This window comes from Homo sapiens, chromosome 12 (genome assembly GCF_000001405.40).
Source record: "Homo sapiens chromosome 12, GRCh38.p14 Primary Assembly".
NCBI classification, from domain to species: Eukaryota; Metazoa; Chordata; class Mammalia; order Primates; family Hominidae; genus Homo; species Homo sapiens.
The window spans coordinates 62,127,721-62,144,156 of NC_000012.12; the positions used below are offsets into that span (position 1 = coordinate 62,127,721).

The 16,436-nt window shown below is 38.0% G+C and overlaps 1 protein-coding gene and 1 long non-coding RNA gene across 6 annotated transcripts in view; both read right to left on the reverse strand.

The window, feature by feature from the left end:
* Window positions 1–16,436, reverse strand: part of TAFA2 (TAFA chemokine like family member 2) — a 551,762-nt gene that overhangs the window by 419,448 nt on the left and 115,878 nt on the right. The gene's annotated exons all lie outside the window — the stretch shown is intronic.
* LOC124902950 (uncharacterized) lies at window positions 1,228–9,754 on the reverse strand. Its single transcript, XR_007063341.1, has 2 exons — window positions 9,718–9,754; window positions 1,228–8,286 (listed from the first exon to the last, which is right to left on the reverse strand). It is a non-coding gene; the product is annotated as an uncharacterized LOC124902950 (long non-coding RNA).

The following is a 16,436-nucleotide window of genomic DNA, read 5'->3' on the forward strand; positions in this document are numbered from 1 at the left end:
TCTGCCACATTCTAGGTATGTTACCTAGAGCAAGTTTCTTCTTGTGCCTTGTCTTTCTTGTCTGGATTTCTTGTCTGTGAAATAAAGGTAATAATAGTTCTAATATCATACTGCTGTAAAAATGGAAAGATTTAGAAAAATACCAAGTACATAGTAAGTACTCAATTAAATGTTGTCTGCTAATATTATTATTTTCTTCACATTTTTAGTGTCTGTAATTCACACTGACAGCACAGTGGGGAACACATTTGAGGGTATCAAGACCATCAAGAAAGAAATCCATGGGAGGCACAATCAAGGCAAGAAAAAAAATGGGTAGGGAATAAGAAGCAAGCATATGGTGGAAAATAATGTGTTTTATTTTGGACATGTTGCGATTAAGGTGCCTGAGTAAAATTCTTTTACTTCTATCTCAGCAGTTTGTTCAGGTCAATTTTATCACTGCCTTCTAGGACAAAAAAGATTAAGTCCAATTAGGATTATGGTTTGAGATAGAAACAGAAATAATATAGGTTCAAGAATTTTCATTGTCTATTCGATGTTAATCTATTCAGGGAAATGGTCCTAGAAGCCACATGCTTGTTATTGTTAACTGTGACAAAATCAATGCACTGGTTTTGTACTCAGATAATTCATTTCCTTGGAAACTCAGAGGTTGTGAAACAAACATAAATTAAGCTTGTGTTTACCCTGCCTTTCCCAAAGCTAATTATTCAACATAGCTGAGACTTAAGAGTTTCTAACAGAAAGGGCTAAAAACAAATCCAGGTAAAGAACAAGAGGCCAGCACAGGTGTAAATTGCTTTCATGCTTATTTAGCCTTTTACCACGTATATCTCCCCACCACTCCTGTTCCGCTCACCATTCTCAGTACTGCCCTCTCCCCGCTCTCCCTTCCCTGTCCCTGACATCTCTTTCCATAGCTGTGCAGGATGGCAAGGACTATTCATAATTCATGTTTATGCCCCTTGTTCCCAGAATAGCATGGCACATATTAGGTGTTTAATATGTGCTTAGTTAAAAAGGAATCATTGTTGCATAAAGCCACTTCCTGATGATAAGCTCCTTAATCACCTCATAATTGAAAACGTACTTCCGTGGATAAGATCAGGGTCACATAACAGGCAGTTTCTATTGTGTAAGTCTGTATAGTTGTAAATACGATACATTAAATCTGAATCCATGTGTGAAAGAGGTTACTGCAGACACATAAAATTAATTTCAGTCTCATGCTTTAAACTTTTATTATTTTTCAAATAAATCAGTAAACAACATCATAAAAAGTCCTATCTTATTTACTGCTCTAGCCTGAATGTGAAGAAGACAGTCCTCGGTAAATATTTAAGTCACTGACCAATAAATAGATTCCTCTGGTTTTCTACCCAGAAGCAGGTATTTTTCTTTTTTATTTTCTTGGACTGTATACACAAACTTTATCTAAATGGCAGAAAAAATGTTTTTCTTCTTTTTTAGGTTCTCCTGGTAACCTAAAAATAAAAGCATAGTACACTGTAATAACAGCAGTGCTGAGAGAAGTACTCTTTCAATACCATACCACCTATTATTTTTAAAGGAGATTAAAAACTCATTAAGAAAGATCCAGTTGTATTTCCATTCTGTTGTAATGTGAAAAGTGAATAATTTTGTCTATAAGAAGTAACAATTCTAACTCAAATAACTGTTATGACATAAGAATCAATTGAGCCTCTTCAGATAACTATACCACAGCATAACGTCTCTACCCATCTGGCAATCAGGAATCTCCACAAACCAACATTTCTGCAGTTCACCGATACGGTGGTAATGAACGTTGACAAAGACACTGAAGCACTGTAAGATGCTAAATTGTTATCTAAATCACCAAAAATGCTCACTGTCATCTTGTAATTTTACTAAATCCTAATTTAATTTTAAAAAATGTTAAGTGCAGGGTAGGGTCTCTCAAATTCAGAACTACTGACATTTTGGACCAGATAATTATTTGCTTTGAGGACCATTAGTGCACAGTAGGATGCTTAGCAGCATTCCTGGACTTCACCCACGAAATGCTTCTAGCACCTCTTCCTTTCATCCCCAGGACAGTCAAAAATGTCTCCAGGCATTACCAAATGTCCGCTATACGGCAAAATACTATCTGTGGTGAGAACCACTGCTGTACAGGTTATAATGTGTGGCAACTCTTGAAGATCCAGAATTCTAAAACATACCATTTCTCAACCATTCTGGATAAATAATAAGTTTTCATGTTATGTTTTAGTAGCACTCCATTACCCAGCATATCAGATTAACCCATAAATCCCATTTCCCAGTTATAACAATGATAAACATAAATCCAAAGTACTTGCTCTATTCAGGAACTTAACTTTCTTACCTTTTAGCAGCTATTTTTAACAGTAAATTATAAGACAAGGGAGAGTTCCTCTGGTAAATTGCTTTCATCTTCCCAAGTGACTGGAGGCCTGAGGGACTGTACAACCATAGTTGCAGCCTAACACATAATGTCCCCCTTAGCATTTTCCTTTACTCTCCGTAAACAAAGTAATTCACATCTTTTCGGCTGCTATCAGGAAGACTTTAGACTTTCTCTTGCTGTTGCAGAAACTCATATGAAGGAACAAATTTTGCAGAGAAGGAAAAACTTTATATTTTTGTTCAAAATTAAAGTAATGAAATTGAAATACACAATTCAAGGGGGTAAGGAATTAGTGGATATATTATATTAATATAAATTAATATTGCAAATAAAGAAAGACCAGTTATGACATTTTTGCTGGCTAACCCGCTCCCCAGGGTGTATGGGGGTAGGGAAATGAATGAAAATTAGTGTTCCTTATTATTTCAACTTTGTGACTATTCACATGTGTTCCTCTTTTCGTTTCACTGGACATTTCCTGAGTACCTACTATGTGGCAGGCACTGTGCTAGGGACATTCACAGCGGTTGACAGTATTTCCACACATAGATCTATATTACATGCTCCACATAATGGTCTTCTCTAAGTGATACTTGAAATTCACTGACCCATATTTGATCTGTTTTAAGTGTTCTGATTTTCAAACACAATATGTTTCTTTGAGAGGGACATGCCTATTTTTGGACAAGGGTCAAGAAAGGGAGAAGAGAGGAGAGAAAATGGCATGTTGAATAACATTTTATTAAACTGTGAAAATCTCTTTCTGAACAAGAAAGCGAAAATCATGTCAGTGGCTAGCAAACTGAAAACTTGACAAGTGATAAGCATCAACAAATTGCTTAACAAAATGTTAGCTACTGATTACAATGTTGATGCAGAACGGAAAAAGCCAGCTGACATAAAATAACATGTTAAAACTGAAAACCGCACTAATGAAAAGGGACAATGCTCTATAGCTCATTGGCTTTTGTTGGGGGTGGGGAATGGCACATATGAAGCAATGCAAAAACATACATGGCAGTTCACTGGAGTAGCTAGAAATTGAGGGCACAAAAGCAAAATGTCAGAGCCCATCCTCTGCTAAGTAATTATAAAATAAATAGATCACCTACAACCCCTTAAACTGTAGGGACTCTGGGTGGCATCCACACACAGAGAAAGAAAAAAGAAGTAACATTTGCAATTTCTCTACGCACTTAACCTTACCCAACAGCAAATAGTTAGCTCCTCCCTATTAAGGGCTGGATGCCGGGGCAGCGGGTTGCTATGTATAATCAATTATTTTGTTAAAACATTTAAAAAGTCCTGGAATTACAGGGCTTCAGGCATGTTACCTGAGTAGTGTTCCACTAATTATCTTTGAAAAATGTTTTCAATTGTGCTCCTGCAACACTCCAGATTGGCTTCCCAGGCCATTTCCAAGACCACTTTTGAAGAGTGGCCCTGTGTGTACTGCACCAAATACATTATAACAAAGCAATAGAAACACGATTTAAAAAAAATTAATTCAAGGAAACAGACAAAGTGTTCACTTGAGTGTAAATTTTGTAGCAGTAGAGAAAATCTGTTTCCACTATCTAAAATGACCATTTTTTAATGTTCTTTTTTAATCTCTACTTTAAAGGAGTCAGATATGTTTGTATAACTTCAGTCTGAGTTAGTATATCACTGTTCAACCTATTAAATAAGCCAAACCACTATTCCCCATTTTTTATTTGCTGTATTCCATTTCTATCCTTTCATTGTTTCTATGATGACTGTTTCACTAGAAATTTAGTATTTCTGTCATTCCTATTCACAGCTTCATGGCCAGGTCAGCTTTTGTATTTGAAAACCCTTGATGTTCAAAGCATGCATTTAGTACACAGCACAAAAATAGGAAATGGTATGTTAAAACAATGAACAAGTGAGAGATGCCTACACAAAACTGAATCAAGTCAAAAAAAAAAAAAGAATTTAAAATCTACATTGATAAGATAAAATTTTCAACATGAAATAAAATTTGTATCACATTTCTCCCCAAATTAACTTCCTTTTTAAAATAAACAATTCGAGCTCACATTCACAAAAAGTTACCTTAATCTGGATTTTTCCCTCAGAAAGCACTTAACATGAAAATATTAAACTCTAATCACTTCTATATTAAGAAAGGCCCACAGTTAGCAGAAAAAAAAAAAAATGAGTTTCCAGGAGACACTGAGGGTATCTCCCCAGTATCTATTTCCTCTCTCCTGTGGCTTACAGTAACCAGGCAATACAGGTATTGACCCTATCCCCAGCTCCAAGAGTGGTCTCTGATGTGTCTAAACCAGTTTTTTCAACCCCACTAAATGCAATAGTCCAATTATATAATAAATATTTTATAATGGCCTCTCTCTATACTAAATTTTTTTAATAAATACAATTATCTCCACACATTTTTTAAAATCAATACATTGCTCAAAATAAAACAACGTAGAAATAAACAAAAGTAATTTGTTTTAAAATGTATTTTAATATGTAAATCACAATATTGTAGTCAGATGCATACACCTTTATATGGAATTACCATGAAGTGAGACACCTAAAAAACAGGTGATAAGGCATGTTGCACAGATAATTCAGATGCCAGATCACCCTCCCATCTGTGATATGATTTTTCAAATGAGCAAACAAATCTCAGAAAAGTTCTGAACAAAGTATAATATTATTACAATACATCCATAGCTACATTTCTGGAAAATTCAGTGTATGTTAAAATACTGCCCCCAAAAATATATTTTGCAGAAGTCTAGATTCAGATTATATAAAATTATATACAATTTTTCACCAATATTGTGTTGTCAGTACAACATTTTCAATACAATATTGTCCAGAAGCACATTCCAAGGGAATGCAGAATGTGGAATAATTATTTGTGGTACAGGCCCATCCTGTACATTGCAAGACCTCCATAGCATCCTTGACCCTCATCCACTATATGTCAATTTTGACACACAGGCACCCCCAGCATTGTCACAACCCAATATTTCCCACAAAATTCCATGTGCATCTTCCATAATTTTCCATGCACACACATTCCCAAATGTTGGTATAACTCCCTGTTGACACACTCCCAAAGACTGGTATAACTTTCCACATTGGATATTCTAAATAACTGGGAATATCCTTGTCACCATGGTTGTTTCAGTAATAAATATGGAACCCAGGACTAAGCATGTCAGTGTGAGTATTTTCCTGGCTCCATGAAGGTCAACTCAGTGAGCACAAAGCTCAGGACTTATAATGAAAATTCTGGAACCCTCTTTCCTTTTGGATAATGTAGATACAAAGTCCAAAACTGGGCAAAACTAAATCAAAGAAGAGGAAAGAACTAAAAGAAGGGTAGAAAAAAAAATAGAGAGGGAGATTTCCTCAATCATCCCAGAAACCTTATCTCCATTATGTGAGCAAACAGTTCCGTTAAATACGTAAGCCATATTGAGCTTTGTTTTTCCATTGCTTACAAATGAAAGTTCTCTTATCTTCCCCTTGCCCTCCAAGGATACATGACTCAGGGAAAAGAGCAAGCAAGATAGAGCCCCATGAAGGCAAGGAACTTGAATACCTGGTTTAATTGTTTGTCCTTGGACTGTAGCATGGTATGTGGGTGCCAGTAAATATTAGTTAGTTGAATGAATGAACAAACAAACATAGGCTTGGACAAATAATCATTGAGCATATAGGCTTGGGCTAGCTTCGTGGCTTTGCCATTTACTACCTGAGATAACCCTAGGCAAATAGCTTATCCATTTTCTTACCTATAAAACTGGAGGCAGAGTTCTACCTGCTCACCTCTCTAACTTCATCTCACGATACTCTACTCCTAGATTATTACACTCCAGCAACACTAACCTCTTTGCAAGAACCTCAAACACCTCACTCTCTTTTCTGAGGCATGGCCTCTGCAAAGAATATTTCATCTGCTTAGGACACTCTTTCTCTTCCCCTTCTTATGCTTGGATTTTTCTGGTCCTTCAAGATTCAATTTAAAGTGCTGCTTCCTCCACCAAGTCATCCCTGACAAACCTACAGCCTTTCCCAGATTGCTATCACAATACTGTTGATACAAACTGAATATTTGTGGAGCCCTAATACCCAATATGATGGTATTAGAGGTGGGGCTTTGGGAGGTAATTAGGGTTAAATGAGGTCCTAAGCATGGAGCACACGATGAGATTAGTGCCCTTATAAACAGAGGAGGAGACCAGAGCATTTGCACATCCTCTCTTCCTCTCTCTTTCCCTCTCTCTCTCCACCCCATGTGAGGACACAGCATGAAGACAGCCATCTGAAAACCAAGAAGATGGCCATCAGCAGATACTGAATCCACCAGCACTTTGAACTTGGACCTTCCAGCCTCCAGAGCTGCAAGAAAAAATGGTTGTTTAAGGCACTCAGTCTACAGTAGTTTGTTAGCCCAAGCTGAGAAAGACAACTGATAGATATCAATAGCACTTGTCACAATCTACACTTTGTGGCTATGATTTGTTTCCTTGTTCATCTAGTGTCTCTTTCACTAGAAAGGAAAATCCATGAAGGCAGGGAGCACGTCCATCTAGTTAATCCATCACCAACACCTAGCATATAATTGTCAATACCTAATATCGAATGAATGGTTCCTACTACTTCTCCAGTTAACTTCATACTCCTCAATCTCTATATTCTCTAGCTATATAGGCCTTATTTTAATTCCTCAAGCTGCTATTGCACATTCCATTCCCCCTGCCTGAAGCCTTCTTTCATCCCAGCACTGTAACATTACCTACTTTCTTCCTGATCTCATCTCCTTTACCTGTCTAATTTCTACTCTTCTATCAGATCTTAGTTTAACATTGTTCTTTTTCCAGAAGGCTTTCTCTGACCCCAAATACTAAGTTAAAACCCCCTACTATTCACTGCAATAATTCCATGTCATAATACTAATCACAAGTACTATAATAATTACTAAATTACCTCTTTTCCATGGTAAGCTCTATGGAGTCAAGGACTGTGTCTTAGTCACAGCTGAAACACATAGTAGGTGCTCAATAAAACCTATTCCCTTCCCTCTTTTGATAAGACTGGTACCTAAATCTGAGGTTGTCAACAACATCCTATTGCAAGAGAGAGACTTTTGGACTATTCCCAAAGTCCAAAGTCTATTCAAGCAAAGCCACATTCTTAACAAAATCTGACTCCTCTAACTTGATATCAAGCAAAATGTCAGTTCTGAAGGACTAGATAGTTCAATAAATTGCACAGAACTCCAGTGACAGGCATCGCAAGATTGCCATCAGATTTATGATTTGAAAACTCAACTACTCAAGTAAAAATCTCTTCATCACAAGGTTATAGGGCCAGCAGAGTGTTACTATTACAAGGTTGAAAAGATTCAGAAAATTCACTATAGAAATAAAGGGTTATTTGAAAATAAAATTAAACATTAGAAAAAAACAGGTAATAAAAAATAGATTTCACATATGGTAAAACAACAAAATTAAACAAGGAAATAGGCTTTCTTTTTAGAAAGCAAACTCAGAGACTGATTTACCATCTCTGAATTATTTCACTTATGAATATCATCAGCTCAATTAAGTTAGTAACAAAGCCTGCATTGCGCAATAAAGTAAAAAAAAATCATATTATGCAAAATGTTATTAGGAAAGCTTACCTTTTGGCTGGTCAGTAGACAGTTAAAAAGTGAGGATTTTCTTATTCTGTGATGTGAACTGATAAACAACATAAATCTCAGGAGAAATCATACATGTATAGAAGAAATGCATGGCTTCTTCACCCTGATTGACTTTTCCCTGCTCCCCATGTGTCTCAGGAGAAGAATGCTCTTTTTTATGCCAGACGCATCATGATGAATGCTGATGAGACAATATTTGACTCATCACTGCTTAGATGGTTATTTTGCATGCAATCTTTCAACTTCTTCATCAATTCATTGGCTTGCACACACAGCAGTATTTGGGGTGCGATTCCTAGTTAGCAGGTGAACATTTTTGTTTTTAAATTACAGGGATTTTATTAGAAGAAAAGGTATATTTACTTTCATCAGTTTAGATTAAGTTGATCCAAGAATCAATTAAAAGATGCAATAATCTTCAAAGTTATTTTCTTTAATACAGTGACCCACAATTGTTGTGAATCGTTTCATGTCTATGGAGATACAGATGAGCTAAATAGATATAAATCTAGAATCATACAACATGTGGCAGTTTTTGTCTTCTTTATGATTCTTCTGTCAACCCTAATAATTTCAGAGGAAAATAGATCTGCTTTTTCCCTCTATGAAACTATCTCATTCCAATATTCAAAAAATACAAATAACAGAGGACAAAACTTTTCAGAATATAATTTCTCCTAAGGTTTTGGGAAATCACTGCACAGAAAAAATGAGCTATCCTTGTAATTCACAATGGCAGTTAAGCATAAGGTATAAAGACATCCAAAGCTTTTTCTGTAAACACTATATACGCAGAGAAGTTTATAATTAGCAGTGGTTGAGGGAACCAAAGACAGAAGATATTGACAACTGAGAAGCCAGGATAACATCTTCTAACCACAAAGTGTTGTGTGGTGAAATATTTGTTAAGAGAATTAGCAAGAGTAGGCAACAATTTCTCTCGCATGCAGAGAGTGGTATTTAGAGTATAGCCATTGGCTAAGTAAAGCTTTATAGAACAGTAATTGGTAATGTTTGGGGGGACATGCACCCCTTTGAAAAATGTCATAATCTACCATTTCTTATTCCCAGAAAATATATGCATATGCACAGAATTTTTCATAAAATTTGAAGAGATTCCCTGAGGCTCTCAAGTCTGTCCTTAGAACTTTCCTCCATCCTCCACCCCCATCCCCAGCAGAAGTCTCTACTTTGGAGAGAACCCTCACCTTAAACATGGGACTGAAGCTTACAGGGAGAAAAAAGTACTATGCTGTTAGGAATTTGTCTTCAATACAATCACACCTATTTAGCAGAAAAGCTCCTGTTTCTTACCCCTGCTACCTCAAGGACAGATATGTAGAGAAATGTCCTGCACCGATTCTTCCTGAAGAGTCAAGGGAACATATTTACAGTTCATGGGCAAATAAACTTACACTGTAAATGATCATATATAAGCTAATGAGGAATTGAAGGAAAGTAATATTTATGAAGTATTTAGGTATGCTAAGCCCTCTATGAGCTGCTTTAATACAAATTACCACATTAAATCTTCACAAGAACCCTGGGAGCTAGTTATTATTATTCCTACTCAAGAATAAATGGAAACAATGGTTCCAAGAAGTTAACTAACCTGCACAAGGTCACACTGCTGGTTGAGGATGGAATTTAGGTTCTAACTCGGAATTATCTCATTCCAAAGCTCATCTTCTTTCCTTTACCTTCTATTTCTTCATGGCTAAGTTTATGGCATGGTCATCCACTGTGCTTGGAAAACACGTTAGAGCTTAGGGCCTTTCTCATGGAGTACATAACTAATCCACTCAAAAGAATCCCAACCCCTCCCCACCACCTCCACTCCAACCACCCTGATACAAAGCATCATCATCTCCCCCTGGATTATTGTAATGGCCTCCTCACTAGTCCTGCAGCTTCCTCCCTGACCCTCATACAGCCCATACTCAACACAGCAGCCAAAGTGATGCTTTAAGAACAAAAGTTAGATCACAGCATCGCTCCTGTATTCAAACCCTGCAATGGCTCTCCAACATGCTCAGAATAAAAACTGCATGCCTTATGAAAGCCTACAAAGTCCAATTTCATCAGGTCTCAGACCTGCCTCTCTGACCTCACCTTAGATCTTCAAAATCCTCCTGTCTAGCCTCATTAGCCTGCTTGATGCACTCTTCAATTTTGTACTGCTTATCCCCTCTGTCTGGAATGCTCTTCCCCCATATCTCTATCACAAACTCCTCAAATCTTATGTCTTTGCCTCAAATGCCGCCTCCTTTATGAGGGCTTCCCCAGTTATGCTATTTAAAATTGCACATCAGCCAGGTGTGGTGGCACCCGCCTGTTGTCCAAAGCTACTTGAAAGGATGAGGCAAGAGGATGGTTTGAGCCCAGGAGTTCAAAGTTACAGTGAGCTATGATTGTACCACTGCACTCCTGCCTAGGCAACACAGTGGGACCCTGTCTCTAAAAAATAAAATAAAATAAAATTGTGCACCAACTAATACCCCAATGTTCCTTATTCTCCTACCCTTCTTTATTTTTTCCATGGTATGTATTATCATTTGATATACCTTTAATAGCACTCATATGCTTATGTTCTCCTTCTTGCCTCCTGTAGAATATAAGTTTCATAAGCGCAGGAATTGTTGCCTGATAGTTTACTGCTATAGTTTTAGTTCCTGAAACAATTCCAGGCACACAGTATGTGCACAATTAATGTTTGATGAATGAATAAGTAAATAAATGGTCACTGGCACTCCAAGTCTTAATTGACAGACCAACAGAACACACTGAACTGTGCAGTCTTCTAGAGTCTACTTGCATGATAACTGCTGTAATAGGAGGGCTGCCTCTCAACACTCCACTGCACGCCAATTAAATGCAGCCTGTGAGTGTGTGCACAGTCCCCAGCAAAGTTTGGCCTCCCCTGGTACAACCAAAGGGCTCCTGCATGTCATCTTTTCAGTTCAGTGCACCACTTAAGACATCTAAATCAATGGAAACAGAAACGTTCATTTTAATTTAAAATAGCCTTTGCAGAAGAGGTGTGAGCTTTACATTTTAAGCAAGTTTGCCAACTTTATCCTTAGTTAAATAATAAGTGCCACAAGAATTAATAGATTTCATGCCACCCAGAGATCAGAAATAAGGTGAAAAAAACAGTTTCCTTCCTTTTCCATGGAGTAATTAGATATATAAGTGAGGACATCTATGGTTTTAAGAAATTGTTAGATATGGTTAAATGCTTGGGGGCGGGGGAGAGGATGAGAAGAAGAATCCTCCCAAAGCTGTTTACCTTTACCAACCTAGGAAAAGATCTTGTCAATCTCTGCTAAAAGGTGTGTTAGGGGAAAATAAAATAAAGACAAATAAGCAAATGTGTTTTAATACTCCTGAAAAAACTAATAGTCAGCAAGATAGTCAGTATTATAATTACTTGTGCTGTCACAAACAGGGCTTCCAGCAGTGCAAAATGAGTACACCTTACTGAATTACTGAATGTTATAAAATGCTTAAGTATTTTGCAGAATTCATTTTCCCCATTTACGGATTGTCATTGACAAAGTGAAATAAAATGAAACATTACACCCCAGAGTGTCAACTCAGGTTGTTCTTAGTGGAAAAGCAAAATACAAAATTTTATAATAGAATGTGAGAATTATGCCTACCATGTTATAGTTTATACATTAATCTAATATAAAATCAAACATAGCAATTCAAAGAATTAATTAATACCTCTTCTCCTGGTTTGGGACAGAAGAAGGGATACTTTAGCCAACATCTGCACCAGAGAAACATTTTCTCCATTTAGGAGGCTGTGTGAGCAGTAGCATGCATCTTAGTAACAAGCATTACTTGAACCATAGCATGTGATAAAAAGAAAAAAAGACTAAGGCCAACACTTTGGGGAGAGGCTTTCTTATTATTCAAAAGGCATAACACATTAGAGCTGCAAGGGATCTAGACCAATTTCCTCACTATACAGACAAGAAAATGGGGGTTTGGATTTGAGAAGTGACTCGCCCAAGGTCACACAGTGACTTAGCCAGGACAAAAATCACGTCTCCTAACTCCCAATCCAATTATCTTTTCACTACCATGTGGGTACTCAATAAACATTGGTTTCTCTTTCTTTTAAGCAGCAGGAGGAAAGACAGAGAGAAAGGACATTGCCATTTATTATTGTTTTTTGTATTTTTTAATATAAGGACTTTAGAAAGACAATACCAAAGCGGCAATGTGTATTTTATTTCCCCAGAGCATGATGTGTTCTTGGGTAAATGTGTTTTATGAAGAGATTTGTCCTGGGAAGTTGGCAGATTTTACTGTAAATATTTTAACAGTTTCCTATTATTTAGTTGTGGGATTAAATTTTTATCCCAGCTGCCCCAGACCGATGTCTGCAAGTTATAAGTGGTTTTGTGAGGGAGTGCTGGCAAGAATTATGGCTTTCTTCTTTAAAGAATGTTTTGGTAGACATTCAAAGAAGAACTTCTCCTGTCTGCAAGAAATCAGCTCTCAGCTTCTTCAGCTTCCCACCAGCTTCAGAGAACTGCTGTGCTGCAGGTCAAGGCCTTCTGGTGCTATCCATATCTGGTGACCAAGCAAGACATGAGGAGTAGAAAGGCTTAGACAGTTTGACCAACGCAGAAGAGCTCTGATGAACAGTACTCACTTCAGAGCTCCCTGACAGTGATCAAGGCTTTTTCAGACCCACATCACAATTCAAATTCTCCCTCCACCCAATATGCTTCTCCTCTTAACCTTCATAAAGGTTAATCTCTAATAAATATCTCATAGGCAGAACTCTGCCTCACTGTCTGCTTCCACTCAATCCAACCTGCAACAAATGTCTGCTTGGTTTCTCAGGCAGACACTCTAGCCACAAGTTTTCAGCCAGCCTAGGGTGGTGCCCAGTTCATACTAGAACCAGCTTCCCCAGGGCTGCCAGGACCATCAGAAGTAGGTTTTATGTCCTATAGGAACAGGGAAATACAAGAGACTAGCTGATCAAAGACTATAGGCCTTGCTTGCATCACATCAAAAAGTTAGCACATGGGGTCAAATTAAAACAGCCTTGACTGTAGAGAGAACAGATGAGCCCCTGGTAGACACCAGGGAAGAACCCACTGTTCATGTTTTATCTTGATCAGCTTCTCAGGATCAGGTGCTGTGCTGAGTGCTTTACATATGTTGTGCCTTTAAATCCTCACAACCACCTTCTGTTCTAAGGCAGATTTCTTTATCCTCATTTTACAGTTTTAAAAATAGTCTCAGAGAAGTTAAGTAAATTGTCCAAGGTTACCAGTCAGATCACAGATGCCTGAAATACCTTGAACAATGAACAAAGTTCTTCATTTTACACAGAGAAGGTGGGCTTAAAGCCCCTAAGCATCTCTGAGGAGGAAAGTTCAGAGAGAACAATGACTGGGTTTCTGAAGCCTGTGTGTTCTGTCTATGTAGACTGATCGTGTAATTGACCTATAGCACTGCGAGAATGGGGCTTACTGCAGTGAACAGCTTTGCTTTTCTCTGAAGTGGTTCCAGTTGTTTCTGCTTGCCTCGAAGGTTCCAGTTCCTAGCACCGTTGGTCAGGCTCTCCAAAGAGGTGCATGCAGCTTCAACCTGCAGAAGCTTTACCTGCCATCTTCTATGTCTCTGTTCCCTTCTTTGAGGATAAACCTCAGACTTGCTATTCATGCCATTCAAACAAAGAATTTTGCCTGACATTTTGACTGCTATTTCAGTGTTTAAATTTTACTATACATTGCAGTTCAATGGTTTTGTCTTTTTTAGTGAGTAATCTTTTGATTTGGCTTTATATTATTATATTGTTACTTCTGCTTTTTAAAACTTTCCTAAACTGTAAACACTAAGAGATATGCAAGCCAAACAATTATGCTAACAGCCATGCCCCAAACAGGGGGAGCTGAATGACTATTTTATATAGTTAGTTCTGCACAGGGCTTTTCTTTATCCCTAAGGAAGACTCCTAGGCAAGCCCCAGTAAACATTAAATTCAGTCAACTAAGAAAAATTGACAGAGCCACACTCATCACTGATCTTGATCATTTGGGAAAACCACAAACAAAATCTTCCTATGGAAATGCATTGAAACTGTCCCTAACACTAGGTTATCATTGTTTCTGTAAGTATTAACAACCACGTATTGAGTGCCCACTAATGCCAGGCATCACACGGTCTCCTCACCATCCAACAGGGAAGCACCTTTATGTTCATATGTGCTAGCTACCAGTAGGATTACGTTCCCCTTCTTATAAATGAAGAAACTGGGGCTCAGAAAGGTTAAGTAACTTGCCACTTTATAAGCTTGTGATCTTAAGGAAGCTATTTAACCTATCTGAGACAGTTTTGTCATGTATACAATGAGAAAAATAATAACTACCTGAGCCTGGTGTAGTGCCCACACCCCTAATGCTCTGCCTGGCCCACAGCAGGCCTTCAATTAACATTTGTTGAATAAACGAAAGTCATAAGAATTGAATAGGATGAGAATTATAAATACTGTAAGAAAACTGACTAGGACAGTGTGTGGCAAATGGTGGCTATGTTATTGTCATTTCATAGTGGTAAGTAGTTACAAATGCCTATGTTCCTTTCACTCCATGACATCATGTTTCAGATCATGGCACTGTAATGTTTTCAGAAAAAAAACTGGAGCCTAACTAAAAACATACTACCACAGTGACAATTCATAGTGTCTTCCATGCATGACTACCCAATATTGGCCAATATTGCAGAGCAGCTACACCACACTTAGAGGAGAGAGTAGGAGAAAAGTTCTACCCAAGTCAGATCTTTCTATTAAATGCCTCTGCTTTATCTCAAGCAAAGTTTCCCATGGTATTTGCTGGAAGAGGGTATAAAAGTCTTTAATTAAATTATGAGAATCCTCTTTAAATCTTGGTGGCTTCTTGAAAAACTCCAATGAAAAAGATCCACCTTTTGTCAAAGCAGTGTGTCACAGATAATTTCTTTAATGTTTAATATTTACTGGATTGTAACTATTTGCTGGGCAATGTTTTAACCACCTGGTGCAGATTAACATCTTTAATCCTTATGAGAACGCTATTATATAAGTACTACTATTGTTTTCATTTTCCAGAGGAAAAAAGTGAAGCACAGAGAGGTCAAGGAATGTACTCAAAGCTATACTGTGAATAAGGGCTTACCCAAAGTTCAAATCCAGGATTCTACGGATATCACTATGCTATACAACCCCTCCATACCTGCCTTTCCAAACTTCTTTGTTTTTAAGGAGACCTAAGCACTGGCTAAGTTTAAAATTTTGCCTAGCAAGGTTTTTCAACACGGAGATGGCTGCAACATGTAGGGTTACCTCCCAGCCTCCTCTTGCACCAGCCATGGCCAGATAAGAATCCTTCCAAGACTAACAGCCTTCTTTATCTCCCTAAAAATGCTAACCCCCTTCAGCAGAAGAATCCCCCATGGATGAGTAGTCAATTGGAGAAAGTCTCCTAATTGCATTTGCAAATTGACTTGGGAAAGAACCAGGTATCATTAAGGCCATGCCTGATCTACAAAGTAATCAGTATACAGAGCTTAGGCCTTAAAACTAATTATAAAACGGAATTTTTTCCCCTGCTGAAATTCTTAAAGAATCTGACCAGCCCAAGGACTATCTAACTAAGAACTTTGTTTCATCTATAAAACCTGTCCAGGGTAACATCCCTAGGGACACCACACAGCTTGACTCCAGCATGTGCCATTCATGTGATCTATGTGAAGGTAGCTGGCTAGACCAATACAGCCCACAACCTGAGCAGCTTTCAGCAGTAGCCCTGACACTTCTAATGGCAGCCTCTGCCCACCCCCCACAACCTTATTAACCAAATCTCTTCTTGATGTCATCTTTCCTATAGACCCTCAGTCAAATTATCCTTTAGAGTCTTAAAATTCGGCAGGGTGTGGTGGCTTATGTCTGTAATTCTAGCACTTTGGGAGACCAAGGCAGGTGGATGGCTTGAGCTCAGGAGCTCAAGACCAGCATGGACAAAGTGGCAAAACCCTCTCTCTACAAAAAATACAAAAAAAAAATTAGCTGAGCATGGTGGCACATGCCTGTGGTCCAAGCTACTCGGGAGGCTGAGGTGGGAGGATCGCTTGAGCCAAGGAGGTTGAGGCTGCAGTGAGCTGAGATCATGCCACTGCACTCCAGCCTGGGTGACAGAGTGAGACCCTATCTTAAAAAAAAAAAAAAAAAAAAAAAAGTCCTAAAACTCTCATACGATGACCATAGAGTTGATAGTTTTCCTTCTCTGCAGGAAACAAATGGAACTGGCAAACTGTGACTAT